Below are 21,272 nucleotides of genomic sequence, written 5' to 3' on the forward strand. Positions count from 1 at the left end.
AATAAAAATTCACTGGAGAGATGCAACAGTAGATTTGTGCAGCCAGAATAAATAATTAGGGTACTTGAAGAGAGGTCTATTGAAATTAACCAGTCTGAAGAATAGAAGGAAAGAAATAGACAAAAATGAGCAGAGGCTAAGGGAATTATGGGATATCATATAGCATACCAACATACTAATTATGGTAGTTTCCAAAAGAAGAAAGGAAGAAAAATAGTCAAAAAATGTTTTTAAAATGGCGAAATGTCCTAAATTTAATAAAACATATGCAACTACATATCCAAGAATTTCTATAAATTCTAAGCAGATGAAGTCAGAGATCCACACCAAAAATAATCATAAACAATCTGTTGAAAGCCAGACAAAATAATATTGAAAGTCGTAAAAAAGAAGTGACTCATAGGGTACAGAGAATCCTCAGAAAGATTAGAAGACACTTTCTCATCAAACAAACAAATATATTGTCATTCAAGAATTAAATATCCAGCAAAACTATTCTTCAAAGATAAAAGAGAAATTAAAACATCCAAGATCAATAAAAGCTAAAGGAACAAGTTCCTAATACACCTGACCTATAGTAAATGCTGAAAAGAGTCCTTCAGGTGGAAAATCAATGAACATTAGTAGATAATTCAAATCCAAAACAAAAAAAATCTGATAAATCTATAAAAACTAGTGTGATTATGTTTTTTTGGTATCTCCTGTTTTTGTTTTAATTATTACAAATAATATTATACAAAATATGTTAAACAAACATTAAATAAAACAATAGTAACTCCTGTTTTGGCATTAATTATCACAAATATACAAAATATATTAAACAAATATAATAATATGAAACAAAACAATAATATTAAACAGTTGATTAATCAGGTAAATATGTGGGTGTAGAACATGACTGTCTATACTCTCTGGGTTTTTATCTTTTCCCTTTGATTTATATGTCTATCATTGATCTAATGCCACACATTCTTCATTCTAGAAAGTAAATGTTGAACTTGGGTAATGCAAGTCTCTCAAATTTATTTTTCAAAATTGTTTCAGATATTCTAACTCCTTTATATTTATATATAAATTTTAGGTTCAGCCTGTCAATTTTGACAAAAATTGCTTACTGGAATTTTGATTGTGAATACATTAAATAAGTTAATTTTTGGAGAATGTACACATTATATCACTTATATTTAGGTCCATTTTTATCTCTGTGACAGTTTTTTTGAGACAGCATCTTGTTAAGTTGCCCAGAATGCTGAACTCAAACTCCTGAGCTCAAGGGATCCTCTCACCTCATCTTCCCAAGCAGCTGGGACTACAGGAATGCCCCACTGCAGCCAGCTCTATTTTGCGGTTGAAATTTAAATATGTGGCATGTATTCCTTTAAATTTATGTTAAGTAATTTTATATTTTTATGTAATTTTAAGGGTAAAAATTTTAAACTTTAACAGTTGTTCATTTCCAGAAAACAGAAGTACAATTTATTTTTGTATACTGACCTATATTCTATGACCTTTTCAAATTCACTTACTTTTTGAAAATTGCATAATATTATCTGCTAAACTGATCACATTGTCTTTGAGTGAAGTCAGTTTTATTTCTTTTTTTCCAATCTGTTTCTTTGATATATTTTCTGGCCCTATTGCACTGAATAATACCACTGTAAAGCACTGAATAGAAGTAATGAGAGTGAACATTCTTGATTTTTCGTAATGTTCATGGAAATCATTCTTTCACTATACAAATATAATTTAACTCTAGATTTTTTTATAAATGGTTCTTATCAAAACGAAGAAGTTCTCTACCATTCTTGGGTTGCAACAATTTCTAACATAGTGGTTGTTGAAATTTCCAAAATGCTGTATCTACATCTACTGAGATAATTTCATGTTATTCTTCAAAATATAAATATGGTCCTTTATAATGATTAATCTTCAAATATTCACCAACCTTACATACAGTAGGATAGAGCCACTTGGTCATGATGTATCAGCTACTATATCTATTGCTAGAATATTTTCTCATATTGGGCTAGAAAATTTTAAGTTTATGTAATGAATGTGATACTTTTTTTACTTTTATATTTTTATAATGTGTTTAGTTTTAATAGCACTGGTTTTATAAAATTAGTTGTGTGACATCTCATCTTCATTTTTAGAAGAGTATTATGTAATTTCTATTATTTCTTCATTAAATATTTGGTAGAATTCATTAGGAAAGGCATCTTTGTCTTGATCTTTGTGAGAGTGTAATAAAGACTCATTTTCTGTAATAGATTTAGAGCTAATTAGGCAATTATTTTTGTAAGTGAGATTTGATGGTTTGTGTCTCACAAGAAATATGTCCATTTCAACTCAGCTGTTTAATGGGTTGACATTCCAATGTCAGTAATACATGTAATGTGTGCTTTCTTATGTTTTTTGAAAAATCAGCCCAAAGGTTTACAATTTTATTAATCTTAAAAAAACCCTACCATTGCTATATTTTCTCTATCCTTTCTTCATTTTCTAATTCATTGACTTCTGATTTTATATTTATTTTCTTTGTCCTTCTTATATCAATTTATTATTTTTAATGTGGAACCTTACATCATTAATTGAAGACTTTTCTTCCCTTACAACATAAGCATATAATGATACATATATTTTTAGGATTGTTTTAGTGATACCACACAAATTTTCACTAAGATGTTTCCATTTTTCCATTAAAATAATTTATAAATTTCTTTATAACTTTCTATTTAACCTATCAGTTGTTTGAAAGTATGTGTTATATTTCCAAATATTTGGCAGTTTTCCTGTATCTTTCTGTTATTAACTTCTACTTTAATTTTGTCATGGTCTAAGAATATATTTTGTACGTTTTTATTTGGTGAAATAATACATCATTGACTGATTTCAATTATTTAAGTTTGTTTTATTTTGTTTTGTTTTATGTTTATTAGCTCTTCTCATATAAGCCTAAACATATGAACATAAACGATACAATTTAAAAGATTAAAAATATCCTACAGATCTAAATATGGTGATTTTGCCTTCTGCTTACATATGTTAAGTTTTGAAAACTCACACAAATAATAGCTCCCTGATATATACTTAGATTCCTTGTCACTCCCTGCTGTGTTTGTATAAATCTTCTTTGAGCTTCGAGATGTTCTGTAGCAGTATATAATACGCTCCGTGAGAGACAACCTGGTGATGTATGATATGCATGGGTGACTCTCCTAAGAAGTATAATAGGCCTGTTGAAGCCAAATTCCTCTTTGAGGGAAGACTGTATGATTAACTGGTGTATACAGTGGTGGAATAGTTGTTATTGAGTTATCTCTTTCCAGAACATTGTATGTGTGGTTGTCATAGAAAATGACCTAAGAGGCTCATGGTTACCCAAGCAATTGTCGTTTTATTCACACATCTTGAAAAGCTAAGTCCAAAACATAATAAACATAACATAATCAACATTCTCTTCCTTTGATTTGCTCTTTTTTTCTCTTCCTCTCTCTGTTCTATGTTCTCCTCTCTTATTTTAGACAAGACTCACAAAATTAACGATCGTTACATGAAAAGAATAAAAGGTTTGAGTTACTTCTTTATAATGAGATATACATTTGGAATCATAGTAATTTAATTAAGATTTCTAGTATAAAATTAATGCAAATTTAATATAAAGATTACATTTAGGAAACATAACATGTGCCCAGAACATTGCACTTGGTATACAGCATTTAATATGTCACTCTTGTTTTTCTTCTACAAGAGACACAAAGAATGTTTTCTTATTTATCTGTTGGTATACTCTGAATCATTACACTTCTTCTTAGAAACAGTCAACAAAAGTCATACCATGATGAGATCTGGATGTAAATCAAGATCTGTTTTTAAGACTCGCAAAATTAATAAACTTTTTATGAAAAGAGTAAAAAGTTTGAGTTACTTCTTTATAATGAGATATACATTTGGAAGCATAGTAGTTGAATTAAATTTCTAACACAAAAAAGAATGTAATGAAGCACAGGGTCCATGATAAAAAATAAAACATGCTTAATAATAAATGGAACTCAGAAGAACATAATACACTCATTTTTAAATATATCTAGTCTTAAAAAATAGATAATCAGAAGACAGTAAAATATTTTAAGCAAAGAGTAATTTGGTTAGATTTATAATCTGAAATATAATAACAAAAATAAGGTAGTAACCACAATAACCACTTAATTCTGACAGTGGTGGGTGATGGTTAGGAATGAACAGAATATTATGAAGGGACTGTCAATAGGCCGTTTCACTGAGTCAATATAAAAGATACAGAGAAATTTAACCAAAACAGTTGAGAGAATGAATAAGAGGAAACAAATTTGTGAAATATGTGGGCAATATAATAGAGACAACTTTGCCAAATAGATGAATAGATGGAATCTTGAGGACATTACGCTAAGTGAAATAAGCCAATCACAAAAAGACAAATATCTATGATTTCACTTATATGTGTCTCCTAGTGTAGTCAAATTAATAGAGACAGAAAAGTAGAATGGTGGTTGCCAGAGATTAAGGGACAGTGGAATATGGAGTTAGTGTTCAATGGGTATAGTTTCAGTTTTGTAAGGCGAAAAGAGTTCTGGAGATGAATGATGGGAATGGTTACACAACTATATGAATGTATGTAATACTACTGAGCTGTACATTTAAAAGTAGTTATGTGTATTTTACCACAATAAAAATATTTTATTAAAAAGAAAACATTAGAATATATTAGAAATACTTTATATAAAACAGTATGTCTGTGGCCGGGCGCGGTGGCTCACGCCTGTAATCCTAGCACTTTGGGAGGCCGAGGCAGGTGGATCACAAGTTCAGGAGTTCGAGACCAACCTGGCCAGTATGGTGAAACCCCATCTTTACTAAAAATACAAAAAAAAAAAAAAAAAATTAGCCGGGCATGGTGATGCATGCCTGTAATCCCAGCTACTCGTGAAGCTGAGGCAGGAGAATCGCTTGAACCCTGGAGGCGGAGATTGCAGTGAGCTGAGATCGAGCCACCGCACTCCAGCCTTGGCAACAGAGTGAGACTCCGTCTCAAAAAAAGAAAAAAAAAAAAAAAGTATGTCTAAAAATTAAAAAAAAAAACTGTTAAATCAATCAACAAATATTTATTGAATGCCAAGTGGTGTAGTTCCAAAGAACAGAAGTACATTTTTTCCCCAAGACAATACATAAGAACATTATGACACAAAGAGAGACAAAGAGAGGAAGATGGAAAAGGTATTTCTTCATAGATGATTTGATCTCCTTGAAATACAAGATGAAATTATTTCTTAGGCTTAGGACAGGAGAGATGTAGTTTTCAGAATAGTTGATAATTATGTACAACAATGAGAAAGGAACTTAGGCATAGAAAAGTTTATAAATCAAATGTGACTACTTATATAATTTAATACATTTTATAAATATAATTATGGAATGAACAGACCATAATGTTAAAACCATCAATAAGCAAACTGCATTATATCTCTTTTAGGGGACTAAAAAAAAAAAGATTTAAAATGAGCAATTCTTGGGCTCTGTCTAGAAAAGACTTATTAGAAGATATAAATTTAAAAGGTTTCATGATACTTTCCATTTGTGAAAAGCAGAAAGCAAAGAAAAATTGTTACAGAAAAGAACAATATACGAGAGGTAAATGGAGCCCTAAAATGTTACTGGAACACAGAATGAGTTATGCGACCCTAATATTTCAGAGTCAGAAACTGGAGAAAACTATAAACAGGGAAAGAAGCAGACTCTTCCAGCATCACTTGCTGATAGCAGCAGAGTAAGTAAACTCATATCAGCTGGGCCGAGCATTTTAACACAGAATTTAACAAGTTCTGCCAATATATTTGTCTCATCTGTCACTCAGGTATCAGGAAAGAAAAGGATGATTGAGCTTGAGGACTTTGGTTTTTAAATGGGTAAAATGTGGTAAAAACAAATCAGGATGAATGTTATGGGGACTGTCATGGTTAATTTAACATGTCAACTTGTTTGGGCCATAGTACACAGTATTAGTCAAATACCAGTCTAGATATTGCTGTGAAGGTAATTTTTAGGACGTAATTAACATGTAAATCAGTAGACTTTATAGCCTAGCTGATTACTCATCACAATGTGGGTGGACCCCATCCAATCAATTGAAGGCGTAAGAGAAAGGACTGAAGTTCCTTGAAGAAGAAGGAATATGCTTCCAGATAGCCTTCAACTAGAGAAAGTAACAATAACTTTTCCCTCGGTCTCTAGCTTGCTAGTATCCAAATCCTTTAAAATAAATCTCTGTGTGTGTGTGTGTGTGTGTGTTTGTGTAAATATAAATATATTAAATAAGTCAATATGTATGTGTGTATATATAGGCATAAATGTATATATATAAACACATCCTATTGGCTATTTCTTTAATGCAGAAACCCAGAGTAATAACCCAAATGATGATGTAAAATTCTAATATAAAACTAAGAGATTAAATTTTGAGTCAGTGAGAAAGATAAACGCTAGTCCTAATAATGAAATGTCGTTAATTAACTTACGTAAAACAATATTTGCCAATACTTCTCTCATGAGATATTGTTTAAACAAATAAACAAAAGACAATAAAAAAGAAAAAAGAGCAACAGTATCTAGTAAATTGAAAAAATGTTGCATTGAATAGCTTTCACATCAGATTTATAATATTTATATTATTTGATTCACATCAAATAATGTGTCAGAAATCTTTCAGTAAAGGCAATTGTTTAGCTTTATTTAACCCTTTCAGTAAACACTATTGTTTGGACATTATTTGTCCTAGGATTTCACAAGTTCATTTGACTATCAAATCCTGAATGGAGTGTATGTTTAGTAAATGCTTATATGAAGCTTTGAATAGGACTAAGAAGAAAAGAAGAGCATATTAGCCTGTGCTAACAGAATTCCACAGACAGGGTGGCTTAAAAATCAAAGTACTGACAGAGTTGTTTTCTTCAAAATCCTCTCTCCCTGGCTTGCAGACCACACTGCTTTTTCTTTGTGCACATGCATTGCTGGTGTCTCTTCCTATTCTTAAGGACACTTGTTCTATTGAATTAGAACCTTGCCCTTATGACCACATTCAACCTTAATTACCTACTTAAAAGCCCTCTCTCCAAATATAGTCATGTTGTGGGTAAAGAGTTAAACCTATAAATTTGAAGGGACAAAATTCAGTCCATAACAGTGATTTCTTTTCCCTCTTAATGTGGTTGCTTATATTGGTAAGACTGATGGATTTTATCTGGCCAGCTTGTAAGCATGATACCTTTTTTCATCTAATTAAACTGACATGCTGAAACATTATACCAATCCTTGAGAAATATGAAATGCCAATTTAACCATCAATAAATACAATATGTTCCAAGAAAGTTAAATGCTTGCTTACACATCACAGTGCAATCTCTTAATCTATCACTTTTCTGAGTGTTATTTTTTACTTTCTGTACTTATAATGGACCAGTTAAAATATGTTTTGCACTTCATAAGGTAATATGACAGTTCGATCGTGTTTTTTTTTTTCCTTTTTGTTTGTTTGTTCATTTGGTTTTGTTTGTTTTAGAAAACTCACACCAGAGGCCAGCATTCCCAGGGATCGCAGGATGGCATGGATTCCTGAAGGACCCAAGAGTTTCTCTCCTCTACTGGAGAACGTGTCCAAATTGTAGCCCATTCCAGAAATTGATTACATTTTTATGAGAAGTTTCTGTCAAGCTGAGGGCCCAGGAGTTCATATCATCTTCAGGATGTTTAGCATGGCCAGGTGAATTCAATTTTTCAGAAACAGAATTTAAAGGATTATGCAAACGATGCAATTCCATTGCATCATAAGCCCCAGAGGCTTATCTGTGTTATACAAAAGATTTAAAGATTTAAACAATTATGTTCACTTACTGATTCCAGCAATTATTAAAACAGAACTTTTTCCAAAGTGGTTCCAGGATGAGCATTATCAGCATCACCTGGGAACTTGTTAGAGATGCAAATTCTTGGAACTCACCACCAGTCCTCCTGAATCAGAAACTCTGGAAGTAGGGTTCAGCAATCTGTGTCTTACCAATCTGTCCAGGTAATTCTAATAAATAAAGTGTTTCCTAAATGCTTCTTCCTTTTATCTGAGTTTCAGTTGGAGTTGTATTTTATAGTGAAAGTAGAAGTGCTCAATGAAAGGAACCCTTTAATTTCTTTTCTTTTTTTTTTCTAATGGAGTATTTCTGAAAATATACTCCAAAGGAAAATCAAAGCAACCAATTCTGTGAAGGCATGTTAAAAAACATGCACAAAGTTCCTAAAATGCTGCTAAAAAAAAACAAGAAAACAAAACAAAACAAAACAAAAAACCCATGCTTTTCTAGTCCAGTATGTCTTAAACATATTGGACCTAAGAGCCTTTTTTTCCCCCAACAAGTTACATCCACTAACTTTTTAAAGGTCAAGTGTTTCCTTTCGGGGATCATCTCTACTTCTTCCTTTGTGTGCCATCCCCCTGAGCTAGTCAGTCAAGAGTGAACAAAGAAGTTCACTTGACAACCTAAACCTATCAGACTGTTGTCTTGGTAATTTGCCTCTTGAGCTAAGACAAGAATATAAATTAATTATAGCTGATTCACTCCTTTACTCATATTGTGTCACAAAATAACCAAAAGTATTATAAAATAAAATATTGTATCACTTTTAATTATCAAATTATAAGACTTTCTCTTGAGCAGACTAAATTATAGATTATAAGAGCATTTCCTAAGTTATTATAGATACCCAGAAACTGTCTCCTGCTCTTCCTGGGATCTGATTGTTAAGCTTCTCTTCTGATTTATAAACACACAATAAGGAAATTAAATAGTTCAGTAAGAAAAAAAAATGCTGGCCTCTGGTGTGAGTTTTCTAAAACAAACAAAACCAAATGAACAAACAAACAAAAAGGAAAAAAAATTAGTGTACAAAGGACTTGAAAAGACACTTCTCAAAAGGAGACATACAGATGGCCAAGAAACATGAAAAAATGCTCAACATCATTAATCACTAGAGAAATACAAATCAAAACCACAATGAGATACCATCTCACACCAGTCAGAATGGCAATTATTAAAACGTCAAAAAACAAGAGATGCTAGTGGGGCTGCAGAATAAAGGGAATGCTTATACACTGCCCGTGGGAATGTAAATTAGTTCAGCCACTGTGGAAATCGTTAGGAGATTTTTCAAAGAACTTAGAACTACCATTTGATATGGGTTTGATACCCCAAATATATAAGGAATTTCTACAACTTAATAGAAAAAAAGGCCAGAAAACAAATTGCCTGATTAAATATGGACAAAATATTTAAATAGACATTTCTCCAAAAAAGACATATGAATGGCCAGTAGGTATATGAAAAATATGCTCAACATAACTAATCATCGGGAGAATGCAAATCAAAACCACAATGAGGTATCAACTCACATCTATTAGCATGGCCAGATGGCCAGATGGCTGTTATTAAAAAAAATGAAGTAAGTGTTGGCGAGGATATAGAGAAATTAAAACCCTTATGTGCTATTGGGGAGAATGTAAAATGGTGAAGCTATTGTGGAAAACAGTACAAAGGTTCCTCAGAAAGTTAAAAATAGAACTACCATATGATCCAGCAATCCCACTTCTGAATATTTATCCAAAAGAATTGAAGCCAGTGTCATTAAGAAGTATTTGCTCTCCCACATTCATTGCAGCATTATTCACAATATCAAAGAGGTAGAAACAACACAAATATTCATCAATGGCTGAATGGCTTTGGAAAATGTGGCATCTACATACAATAGAATATTATTTGACTTAAAAAATAAGGAATCCTGTTATACACTGTATCATTGAAGACCCTTAAGGACATTATGTTAAATGAAATAAGCTACTTGTGGAAGAACAAATTCTGCAGTATTCTACTTATTGAGGTATCTAAAATCATTCAGCTAAATAGACACACAGAAAGTCGAATGTTAGTTGCCACTGGCTGGGAGATGGAGGAGGAAATGTGTAGCTGCTGTTCAATGGATATAGAGTTTTAGTCACAAAAGATGAAAAAGTTCTACAGATCTACTGTACCACATTACTATAAAATTGCTTATAGTTAACAATATGTTACTGTACACTTAAAAATATTCGTTAAAAGGGCAGATCTCAAATGTGCTTTTTATCACCATAACAAAAAGTCTTACTATGAGTAGTTAAAATGGTAAGATTGATTATACATTTGTTATTAATTTGTTCCTTTTGTTATTTTTATTTTTTGTGCTGAAAGAATTTGTAATGAGTAGACTTGCAATACAGAAAAATAAAATTGTTAAAGGATGTTCTTCAGTGAAGGAAAATGACAACATAAGGAAAATTAGACCAACCCAAAAAAGACACCAGAAATAGTAAATATGTGAATAAGTATAAAAATAATTTTCTCATTATTTTCTTAAAGATAATAACTTTTATAAAATGATACAAATATATTGGAATTTTTATAACATTTGTGGAAGTAAAATTTCTTAAAACATTGTACATTGTATAAGTACACAAATTAGCATTGCACACGTGGCTTGTAATTGTTTTTGCAAAGATCGCTAGTAGTTCGTTCTAATTAGAGAGTGAACCACTTGGGAGAAATGAGTATGCTTTTCATCATGTAATTTCAGCATTTAATATATATTATTGTCTTAATGTTTGCATTTATTTACTTACAAATTGTCATAAAATTGTGTATATAGTATACAACATGATATTTTAAGTATATATATATATATATATATAGTGGAATGGCTAAATCTAGCTAATTAACGTATGTACCATCTCACAGTTACCATTTTTGTGCTAAGAACATTTAACAGGCACTGCTTTTCAAGAATACACTATATTGTTAATAACTATGTTACCACATTGTACAATGGATCTCTTGAACTTATTCTTCCTAACTGAAATTTTGTAGCCTTTGACCAACATCTCTTGGTTGTGGGGTGGGGGGTAGGGGGTAGGGGGTAGGGGGTGAGGGGTGGTGGGGAGGCTCAGGCATGGCGGGCTGCAGGTCTCGAGCCCTGCCCCGTGGGGAGGCAGCTAAGGCCCGGCGAGAAATCAAGCACAGCAGCTGCTGGCCCAGGTGCTAAGCCCCTTACTGCCTGGGGCTGGCGGGGCCGGCCGGCCGGCAGCTCCGAGTGCGGGGCCTGCTGAGCCCACGCCCACCCGGAACTCGCACTGGCCCGCAAGCGCAGCCCACAGCCCCAGTTCCCGCCCGCGCCTCTTCCTCCATACCTCCCTGCAAGCTGAGGGAGCCGGCTCCGGCCTTGGCCAGCCCAGAAAGGGGCTCCCACGGTGCAGCAGCGGGCTGGAGGGCTCCTCAAGCATGGCCAGAGTGGGCGCCACGGCCGAGGAAGCATCGAGAGTGAGCGAGGGCTGCGAGGGCTGCCAGCACGTTGTCACCTCTCAGTACTAAGTCTACTTTTTCCAGAAGTGTAAGACTTTAAGAAGTAGTGGAAACTTGAAAGTAAGAAACTAATTCCATTTTAGACCATTATTTCAAAAACTGCAAATTTTTTTTTCCCATTTCTGATAGGGTCAATCCTTTATAACTGGTGTTTTGTAATATTAGTGTAAAATATTGAGAAAAGTTAAACATGTAAAGTATAAAAACCTATCCTTTTAATATGTGCAAGAAGTTGGAGAATGATTCAACATACTGAAATCAGGTGATAAAGTATCTATATTCACATATAAATTAAAATAATGATGACAGAATTTAATTTCCTTTTGTGCATCTTCTTTGAAACTGTAATAAAATACATCTGTAGTCTGTATACTGGAGATATATCCTGGGCCAGTGGTGTTGAAGTTAAATTTTTGTTGGATTGCTGTGCAAAGACCTCTAGGAATTTGAAATTTCTAATTAGAGACTTGCTTAACTACTAGGAATTTTGGAATAGCCACCCACCTGCCAGGTTTACTAGCTGATGAACACCATGGATACTTGAAGTGTTTGTAGTTCCCTTTACTAAAAAATGACTCTGTGTAGTAATTAAGATGCTTATGGCATCTTCAGCAGCAAAACTAGACCATGCAGCAGCAGTTATATTTTAATCATTTCTTTTTGTTCTTATTTGTGCTAGCTCTTATAATAAATTTTTGTAAAAATTGGGCCCAAAGCATGTGTACATTAGAAGTCAATTAACTCATTTATAGCACAGAGATAGTATTTTAAAGTTGTAGGTTCAGAAAATTGTTATTTGAACAAGGTATGATTATCTGAGGCGTCTTTGACAAATTTTATTATTCCCAGTAGGTACCCATTCAACACACATTACTCTTCCAACTTCAAAGAGTTTGCAGTCAGTTTAGTTAGTAAGATGTACATTTTAAGAGTAACTAAAATGTAATGTAGTAAGAGTTTTTGAAACAGCCCACACAGGGAGCTCTGAGAGCACAAGGACACACAGTACCTGCAGCCTCAGGATAGGTTTAGAAAACAATAGTAATTAAGCTGCCTATTTACTAGGCAAATAATTGGAAAAGAGTAGCAAGAGGGATATTGTGGTGATGGAATAGTTAAGTGTTTTGATTATGGTAGCTATTATATAAATATATAGGAGATAACGTTGTATAGAATACACTCAAAACACACACATTTGAGTGCATATACATATGGTAGAAGCTGACTAAATTATGGGATTATACTGATTTTAATGTCTTTGTTTTGATATCAGACTAGAGTTATGAAAGATGTTATTATTGAGGGAAACTAAGTGACAGGTAGCTGGGACTTTTCTGTATTTTTTAATAATTTTCTGTGAGCCTATAATTATTGCAAATTTATTTTTTTAATGAAAAAGGAGAATTTGAGAAATAAAATTATACACTAAGACTAACATTTGGAATGATACAGATATTTTAAATAGATTTGTAATTTTTAAATAGATGGGAATAGAAAGAGAAGAGATTTGACTTAAAAATGTGGTTTGTGGCCAGGTTCCATAAGGCATTCTACACAATGCTAACACATTTGGATTTTCGGCTGAAATCATAAGATATTAGTCTGTCTTAGAAACAGAAGCAAATAATCAGGTAAAAACCCCTCCGAAATATATTCAATTAACGATATCAGAATCTCTGCTGTCTTTTTGCAATGAAGGAGCTCTCAGGAGATTTGAGGTGTCCTTTATAGAATTATTTTTGTTTATAAATGAATGAACATAATGCACTTAATTCAGTGCTAACAAATAAGAAGGTTTTTCTGGGCTTTTCTTAAACATCAATTTTGTCTTTGGTAAATGGCATTTACATGGGTATTGTACTGTTTCATTTTACTGTATTTTTTAGAGACAGGGTCTCACTCTTGTCACCCATGCTCCAGTGCGGGAGCATGATCATACCTCACTGCAGGCTGAAATTCTTGGGCTTAAGCGATCCTCCTGCCACATCCTCCAGAGCAGCTGGGACTACAGACACAAGCCACCCCACTGGCTGTATAATCATTTTTAATGTTTTGAATTAAACACTGGAAGTGTAATACAGTAATTTCCAAATTACTTGTAAGAAAATGTATTACAATTCTTCGTAAAATATTTTGAAAAAATACAGTACAATGGAATTCTATCATTTACATATTTATGAACTGTATTCGTCCATTTTCAAACTGCTGATAACGACATATCCGAGATTGGGCAATTTACAAAAGAAAGAGTTTTACTGGACTTACAGTTCCACATGGCTGGGGAGGCCTCACAATCATGGTGGAAGGCAAGAAGGAGCACGTCACATCTTATATGGATGGCAGCAGGCAAAGAGAGAGCTTGTGTAGAAGAACTCCCATTTTATTTTATTTTATTTTTATTTATTTATTTTTTCTTTTTTGTATTTTTAGTAGAGACGGGTTTCACCGTGTTAGCCAGGATGATCTCCATCGCCTGGCCTCGTGATCCGCCCGCCTCGGCATCCCAAAGTGCTGGGATTACAGGCGTAAACCACCTCGCCCGGCCCCCTGAACTCCCATTTTAAAAACCAAAGCCCAGTGCGGTCTGGGAGGCTGAGGTGGGCGGATCACCTGAGGTCGGGGGTTAGAGATCTGACCAACATGGAGAAACCCCGTCTCTACTAAAAATACAAAATTAGCCGGGCGTCGTGGCGCATGCTGTAATCTCAGCTACTCAGGAGGCTGAAGCAGGAGAATCACTTGAACCCAGGAGGTGGGGGTTACACTGAGCTGTGATCGAGCCATTGCACTCCAGCCTGGGCAACAAGAGTGAAACTCCGTCAAAAAAACAAACAAGCAAACAAACAAACAAAAACGAAAAACATAAGATCTCGTGAGACCCATTCACTATCACGAAAGAAGCACAGGAAAGACCCACCCCCATCATTCAATTATCTCCCACAACACGTGGGAATTATGGGAGCTACAAGGTGAGATTCGGGTGGGAACACAGAGCCAAACCATATCATGAGCTGACTTTAAAACCTGATGCTTGAGTAAGTGTCATTTAAAATCTCTATTATTCATTGGATGATTTAGTAGGAGAGAACAGGCAGGTAGTAGTTTTTTTTAGAGTTACCAAAGACATATTGTATGACAGTCAGATCAAACAAGGCTTAGACCAGTTCAAATCCAATAAACACTTATTCAGTCTGACATAGTCCGCAATGTGTTTCACATGTATTATTTATCTTAACTCCGACAACAAACATACCATTTAAATGTATTAAAGTTATAATAGACATACTTTTGAAATCGAGTGGATTAAATCCTGAAGGCAAGCAGGAGGGCATCAGAATTATCTTCTTCTCAATCACTTTATTTATGCTCGCTCCCCACAAGCGCACACACACACACACACACACACACACACACATTTGCCACTCGAATTTCGACAGTTATCTTAAAAGCAGAATGTCTGGTCCCTTGTATATTGCCTTTTCTTTTGTTCTTTGTAACTTTCCTCATTGACCCTGAAATCTTACCATGCATAAGTTTGACTAAATACGGTGTCATACAGAAAACTATAAACATTTTACTTCATCTGTATTTAGGAGATTTTGAATATTAATTTTTGATGTTCTAAATTAAATATTAATTTTCAGTGTAAAATTCTTACCTCACAGATTGACTTTATCAACTAGCCTAGCATTAAATGCATTTCACTTCCATTGTACCTCAAGGTATATAATTGACTTCTGGGGTAAGTAATACAGCTGACAAAATAAAATCTTATATTTTAAAATTTTTTATTTATTTTTACAATGTTCACAGGCATGGAAAACATATGTTTAAGACTCACTTAAATACAACAATTATCCTTGTCTGGAATTTTGCTAGCTTACACGTTTCCTTAATGTAATGAAATAATTGATTCATCATTTTGGGTTTAAAGATTTTTTTATGGACAGATGAAAAGGCTACTTTTTGTCAGTTAGAACCTATCTAAGCATGCCACTGTTATATATGAACAAAGAAGAATTTACACATTATAAAAATCTGGCTGACCTCCATTAAAAAAAAAAAGATTGTGTTTCACTTAGGGTCTAATTGTGCTGTCACTTGTTGTCCTCCATGTCCTCTAAAGCAGCCATCTAAACTTCCAAAAGTATGTTAATAAAAGATTCCTTGAAGATGAGACTAGAAATAAAAATTTGGCTTTCCATTACAATAAAAATCAAAATAATAATTTATTAATACTATTTCACATTTCTATCTTAAGTGTGTGCAATTTAATTATGTATTAACATACTTGTTACCTTGAAAAAATTATTGTAACTTTTAGCTTAAATTTATTGATATAAAATGAAGTTCTTCACATAGATTTATCAATCATTTAATTAACAATTATATAAAAGTAAGTACATTTATGTTTTATCATGTTCTTATAAATTGAGATACAATATACAATTGAATGATAGAATGTTTTAGTTTTTTTAAAAAAATGGCTTTCCAAATATTTTCACATCTTTTTAAAATTTTGTTTTAGTTTCCTACTCTCACAATCCATTCTACTGTTTTATTTCTTTTCCACTTTAGGGAAAGCACAATGACACAGAAGGAAATATAGAAGTCCCCAAATTAGGAATCTTGGATTTTAGACCCAGTGTTCCCTTAACTGCTTAAAGTGTGACCTCAAGTAAGTTTCTCATCCTCTCTGAGCCTCAGTTCTTTTGCCCAAATAATGCCTCAGTCTAGATAATCTTTATGGTGTCCCTACTGATGCAAATATTTCTCTGCTATGAATCTCCTAAATCTGAGATCATCCAGAAATAGAGATTAACAAGAATAATTTAATGCAAGCAATAAGAGAAAGAAATATTTAAGAAAAAAACAAAATTATGGAAGAGCTATTTTTCACTTCAAAAAATATTTTCATCAGAAGGTTAATATGTAATGTCATTGTACTCATGATTTTTAAAATATATTTCAAATTTAATCATACTTTTAGTCAAAAGTTTTCTTCCTAGACAACTGGAAATTTCTCATTGCATTTAGATAATTCATTATATGGCAATTCAATTATAAACTGGTTTAGCAGAAATTTTCTCTTGGAACAAAATGTTTACAAATTAATACAAGAGCAAGATAATTATTGATGCTAGGTCGAAGAGCAGATACAGCACATTAAATGCAGACAGAGAAGCAAGAATCAATACTGTTGACTCCACATGAAACAAAATAATTAGAGATATATACTTACAAAAGGAATAAACAATAGAGACATGATTATTTGTCTTTGATTGATGAGTAAAGTCCTACAGGAACTTTATCAGCAGTATAATTACCTTCTTTTCCTAAAATTTTCATTTTGTATAAGGAAAACATGCAGGGAATCAAATCTGAAGAAAGCTGGTCTTTCTGCTTCTCTATGCTTAAGTAACAATGACCTAAGTGGAAAAATTAGAATGATTCAGGCCAGTAGCCAGTAGCATATTCAGACTTTCATTTAGCCTGGACACCTCTTGACTCCAAAGGGAAGCCACAAGTTCAGGCAAGTGGTGGATTTTAAATGGTCTCATGTGTCAAAGAGGTTGAATGAGCAGACTTAAAGTTGAAGGTAGCATAGAAAGATAAGTAGAACCATATGATAAGAATTTTAACAAAACTGAATTTTTGAGCATATTAAATAAATCAAAACCCAAGGTATTTTATATCATCCAGAAAGTAGAAGGCATATGTTAACTAATTGCCAGGAGTATATGTTAATGAATATATGCATATAATTATAAAAGTAAAGTTATTCTAAACTCTTTAACTCTTGTAAGAGAAAATGTCTTTTTTATTCTGTCAAATAAAATTATTCGCAGACTAGAGTTAGCAGATAATTATTAAAATATCTAGGAGGCTTGCCTCTAAACCCCATCTCATAAAAAGGTGTAGCAACTTCATATGTAAAATAATAGAAGGTAAAATTTTGGGAGGATCTTAACTTCTTATTTTACTTAAAATTATATGTCCAAAAACGCACATATTAAATTTAGAGAATCAGCATCTCTGCGCTAGTCATGATTAAGGACAAATCCACCCACTTGATAGTCTTCCCACTGAGTTAGTGAAACATGTAAGTGAAATGTTGATTACACACCTGCAAGGGCTTTCTAACCTATGTGTGGTCCTGCTAGAATGCTTTCTGGTCATGGTTACTGCAATCAAAACCACCTATAAGAGGACAGGTAGAAAAGCTAATGCTTGGTAAAACACTAGTTATTTCATTCCCATCACCAAAAATATTCTGTTTATACAATTCTCTTTAATTAAGTGTAGCACAATTGCCATTTTTATTAATAGAAGCAAGATTTAAATGAATAGGTTTTTTCAGTGTGACAAATGAATAAAAGCCAACGGAGAACATCATTATTGTTTCACATTTCCATTAACCTTAAAAAGTCTCAAGAAACTGTGTGTTTGAGCACCAGAATATATAGGTTTTAATTACAAGATGACTCTATTTGGTATTTTTAACTTGTTACATGCTTTTACTTAGGCCATATACTGACATCAACACTTAGGAAGAAATAGGACTGCAATGAGGACAAAACCTGTTACAGGGAAAGGAAATGATAGAGGCCTGGAAAACAAAGCAAATAACAAGAGTCAGATGTTGAAGGAATAGAGGGAAATATACTAAGAGGAAAAAATGTATGTATTATATCAAAATATGATATATATTTTATATAATTTATATTTACATATAAATATATATTTTGAATATATAAGTCATAATATACTATAAATTTATATAATTTATATTTATATATAAATAGATATACATTTACAATACTCATTTTTAAATTTTTTAAATCACGGCTTTCAAGAATAATTTGAAAAATTGGGCTCTTTCAAAAGAGTTTGGTGAAATTAACAGCAGACATATTTATAGGAAGAAATTAATGGCTATGACAGTAGCTAACATGTTAGATGATACCAATATGCCATGCAGCATTCTAAGTTTCTTACATGTACAAACTCATTTAATCATCTCAACAGCCCTAGAAAATAGGTAGAATTATTATTTTTGCTCTGAGATCAAAATATTGCTTACAACTGCACTGAAGTAATCAGAATAGAAGAATAGGCATAACTCACATACCAGCTTTCATATCTACATACTAATCTTTCCTATTTGTTTCCACAAATGACTCTCTATGCTCCTATAAAAATTAAATCCTCCTTCCACTTGTGACTAGAACTGGGCAATAATAATCCTATCCCATCTCTTCCATAGCCTCCAACTCTCGTGCTCTACTGAATCATTTTCATCTGCATGCAGCCGTGCTATTACTTTTTTGTCTCATCTTTATTCTTATTATTTCAACAAGCTAGTATTCTATTTATTTTCTCCCCTTTGAAGTAAAACTCAATCAAATTCACAGTGTCTAGTCATTTTATCCATTCTTTCTTAAACCCATGCTATCCACATCTAACCTCTACTCCATTAAAATATTCTTATTAATTGCCAGCAATAGCCTCTATGTTGCTAAATTTAATGATCATTTTATTTGGCCTTTGGGCATCATTTGTCATGGTTGATCACTCTCTCTTCATTGTTAGACTCTCTCACTTGACTTGATCATACCCATAAAAGCAGCATTTAAAAAGACGAAGGAAGGAAAGTCCGGTACAGAACATACAGTTTTCAGATAAAGCAATTTGACTTACGTAAATACAAAGGTATTCGGTGTCATCGTTAAAATTTGTAGTGTCTAGGACAAGAATATCACCAGGGCCCGCTTTACCATATGTCTCAATATTTAGAAGTTATAAATCGAGTTTAAAAAAACTGTGAATAAACAAAATATATTATGTCTTTATCCTGGCTGAAATGCTTTTATAACAACAACTTTTCTTTTGTTGCTTTATTTTTCTGTCCTAAACTGTGTTTTTGTGCATTTTTTCTTTCTACAATGACCTTGATTTTTATTTATTCTCAATTATCAAAATGATTGTTGCAACAAAAAAATTTAATTGTATTTAAAATGTGATTATACGTGTCTTGAAAAACAAATTGAACAGAATGGGACACATTGGAAAAATAAAATTATTTATATAGATTTGAAAAACTATTTTATTGTAATCTAAAGCATTCATTGCTTACTGAAATTATATATTAATATTAAAGATAAAATACAAATTTAAAAAGTTAATATTTAAATCGAATTTATTTAAATAAATCTGGATATTTAAATTCATTTGGGGGAATTAAATACATGTTAGTAAACTGTATAAAAATATTATTCAGTACATAATTACTTGTGAATGTAGAAAATTATTACTACTTTTCACACACCTTCTATCTAGGCCCCCCAGATATACAAACGTAAGGGTAATTCAAGTTAATTGATATAAAATATTTCTCAGTCACCATGTGCAAATCCTACAAGTGCAATGCAAATTCTTGATTACATACAGAACTACCTAGTGGGCCATGAACAGAAACAAACAAGAAGATTGTATCTACTATTGAGAAACCATATTTTGTTTTGCACAAATTTATTGCATTCATGTTGAAAAGTATTTGACAAGTTAATTTGTCTTCTCAGTTCCACTAATTGAACTATCTTTCCCTACACTCCTACCAGTTGTCTGTTTCAATGTCAGCATAAGTTAAATCCACAAACTATCCCAGCAATGAAGCTTAGTCATCCTGTTTTCCAAGGATATGAAGTAAGAAGTATAGAGAGAAGTACTCTGGAAACAAGAGAGTATTAGTCACAAAAGAAGATGTTTTAGGATTCTGAGTAGTGTTGTTCTAGTTCTGGGTACCTGATCTGAAGAAACAAATGTTTCTGTACATTCTTTACTTAATTTCTTTTAGACGTTTGCAAATATGCAAGGTCCTCTATGGAGGCCAGGACAAAGGCCTTTAGTGCCTGGATTCATACCACAATTCTGTGAATTATTATCAGTTATTATTGTATTAAGGTTATTAAATGTGTCATTAATGTATGAAGCATTACTATAATAGGCACCACTGATTTATAAACTATGTTTTTAAAGTTTTCATGAATGAAACTGAGAAGTTACAGAGGAAAACAACAAATTGTGATGTGGACATACATTCTTAATTAATACCACAACTCTGGTTTTATTAAATTTAGAGAAGGAACTTTTTACTCATACTTTTTGTTTGCTTTTTAAAATATTGCTGGTGAAAAATTATTTAAAAAGCATTGTAATACACAGTAGAGTATAACTTGGAATAAACTATTTGAGATTTATAGACTAAAATGCACTACAAAATTGTCAAATTTATATTCATATTGTTCATATTATGAGTTTTTAAAATACTGCATTTACTACTTTAAGTTTTTTGATAATAGAGAGTTTTTGATGTTGCAGGATTTGGACTTATATATTTTAAATTATAGTTTTAATAGATACCATAAGATATCCTTTAAATTCCTTATCTCTCAAAGCAGCTGCATCTTTCTGAGCTCTTAGAATTGAATTGGCATTTGAATCAGAATATAGACCTTTAATTTCTCAGCTATTTCCATTATTCTTTGCTCTGCTAGAAACCAAAGTTTAAGATGTTAAGAAAAGAAACAAGATATGAGTCTAATGAAATTTGTTTAAAGCAAGAAAAAAACCTGAAAACAATGTGTTGCCTATTCATATTGTTATCTGTCAGAAACCAAAGGAAATGCTTAGCTTGTATTGCTTAATTTTAAACTATAGATCTTCAAAAGACTGATTCAAATTTGCAATGAACTTGGCATACCTAAATGAAATACCTATAAAAATTGGGGGAAAATTGTGGATGAA

The 21,272-nt window shown here is 32.6% G+C and overlaps 2 long non-coding RNA genes across 4 annotated transcripts in view; one reads left to right on the forward strand and one right to left on the reverse strand.

The window, feature by feature from the left end:
* LOC102724340 (uncharacterized) overlaps positions 1-21,272 on the forward strand; it is a 246,221-nt gene that overhangs the window by 126,481 nt on the left and 98,468 nt on the right. For 2 of the 3 annotated variants that reach the window (XR_923652.2, XR_001739818.2), the window contains exons 3-4: positions 16,044-16,143; positions 17,992-18,140. This is a non-coding gene — a long non-coding RNA (uncharacterized LOC102724340). Of the gene's footprint in view, positions 1-16,043; positions 16,144-17,991; positions 18,141-21,272 lie in introns of those variants that run through there. The other variant, XR_001739819.1, reaches the window with a different exon arrangement.
* Positions 1-21,272, reverse strand: part of LOC105373776 (uncharacterized) — a 116,629-nt gene that overhangs the window by 37,991 nt on the left and 57,366 nt on the right. The window lies entirely within an intron of this gene.

Source organism: Homo sapiens, chromosome 2 (assembly GCF_000001405.40).
Source record: "Homo sapiens chromosome 2, GRCh38.p14 Primary Assembly".
Lineage (NCBI taxonomy): Eukaryota > Metazoa > Chordata > Mammalia > Primates > Hominidae > Homo > Homo sapiens.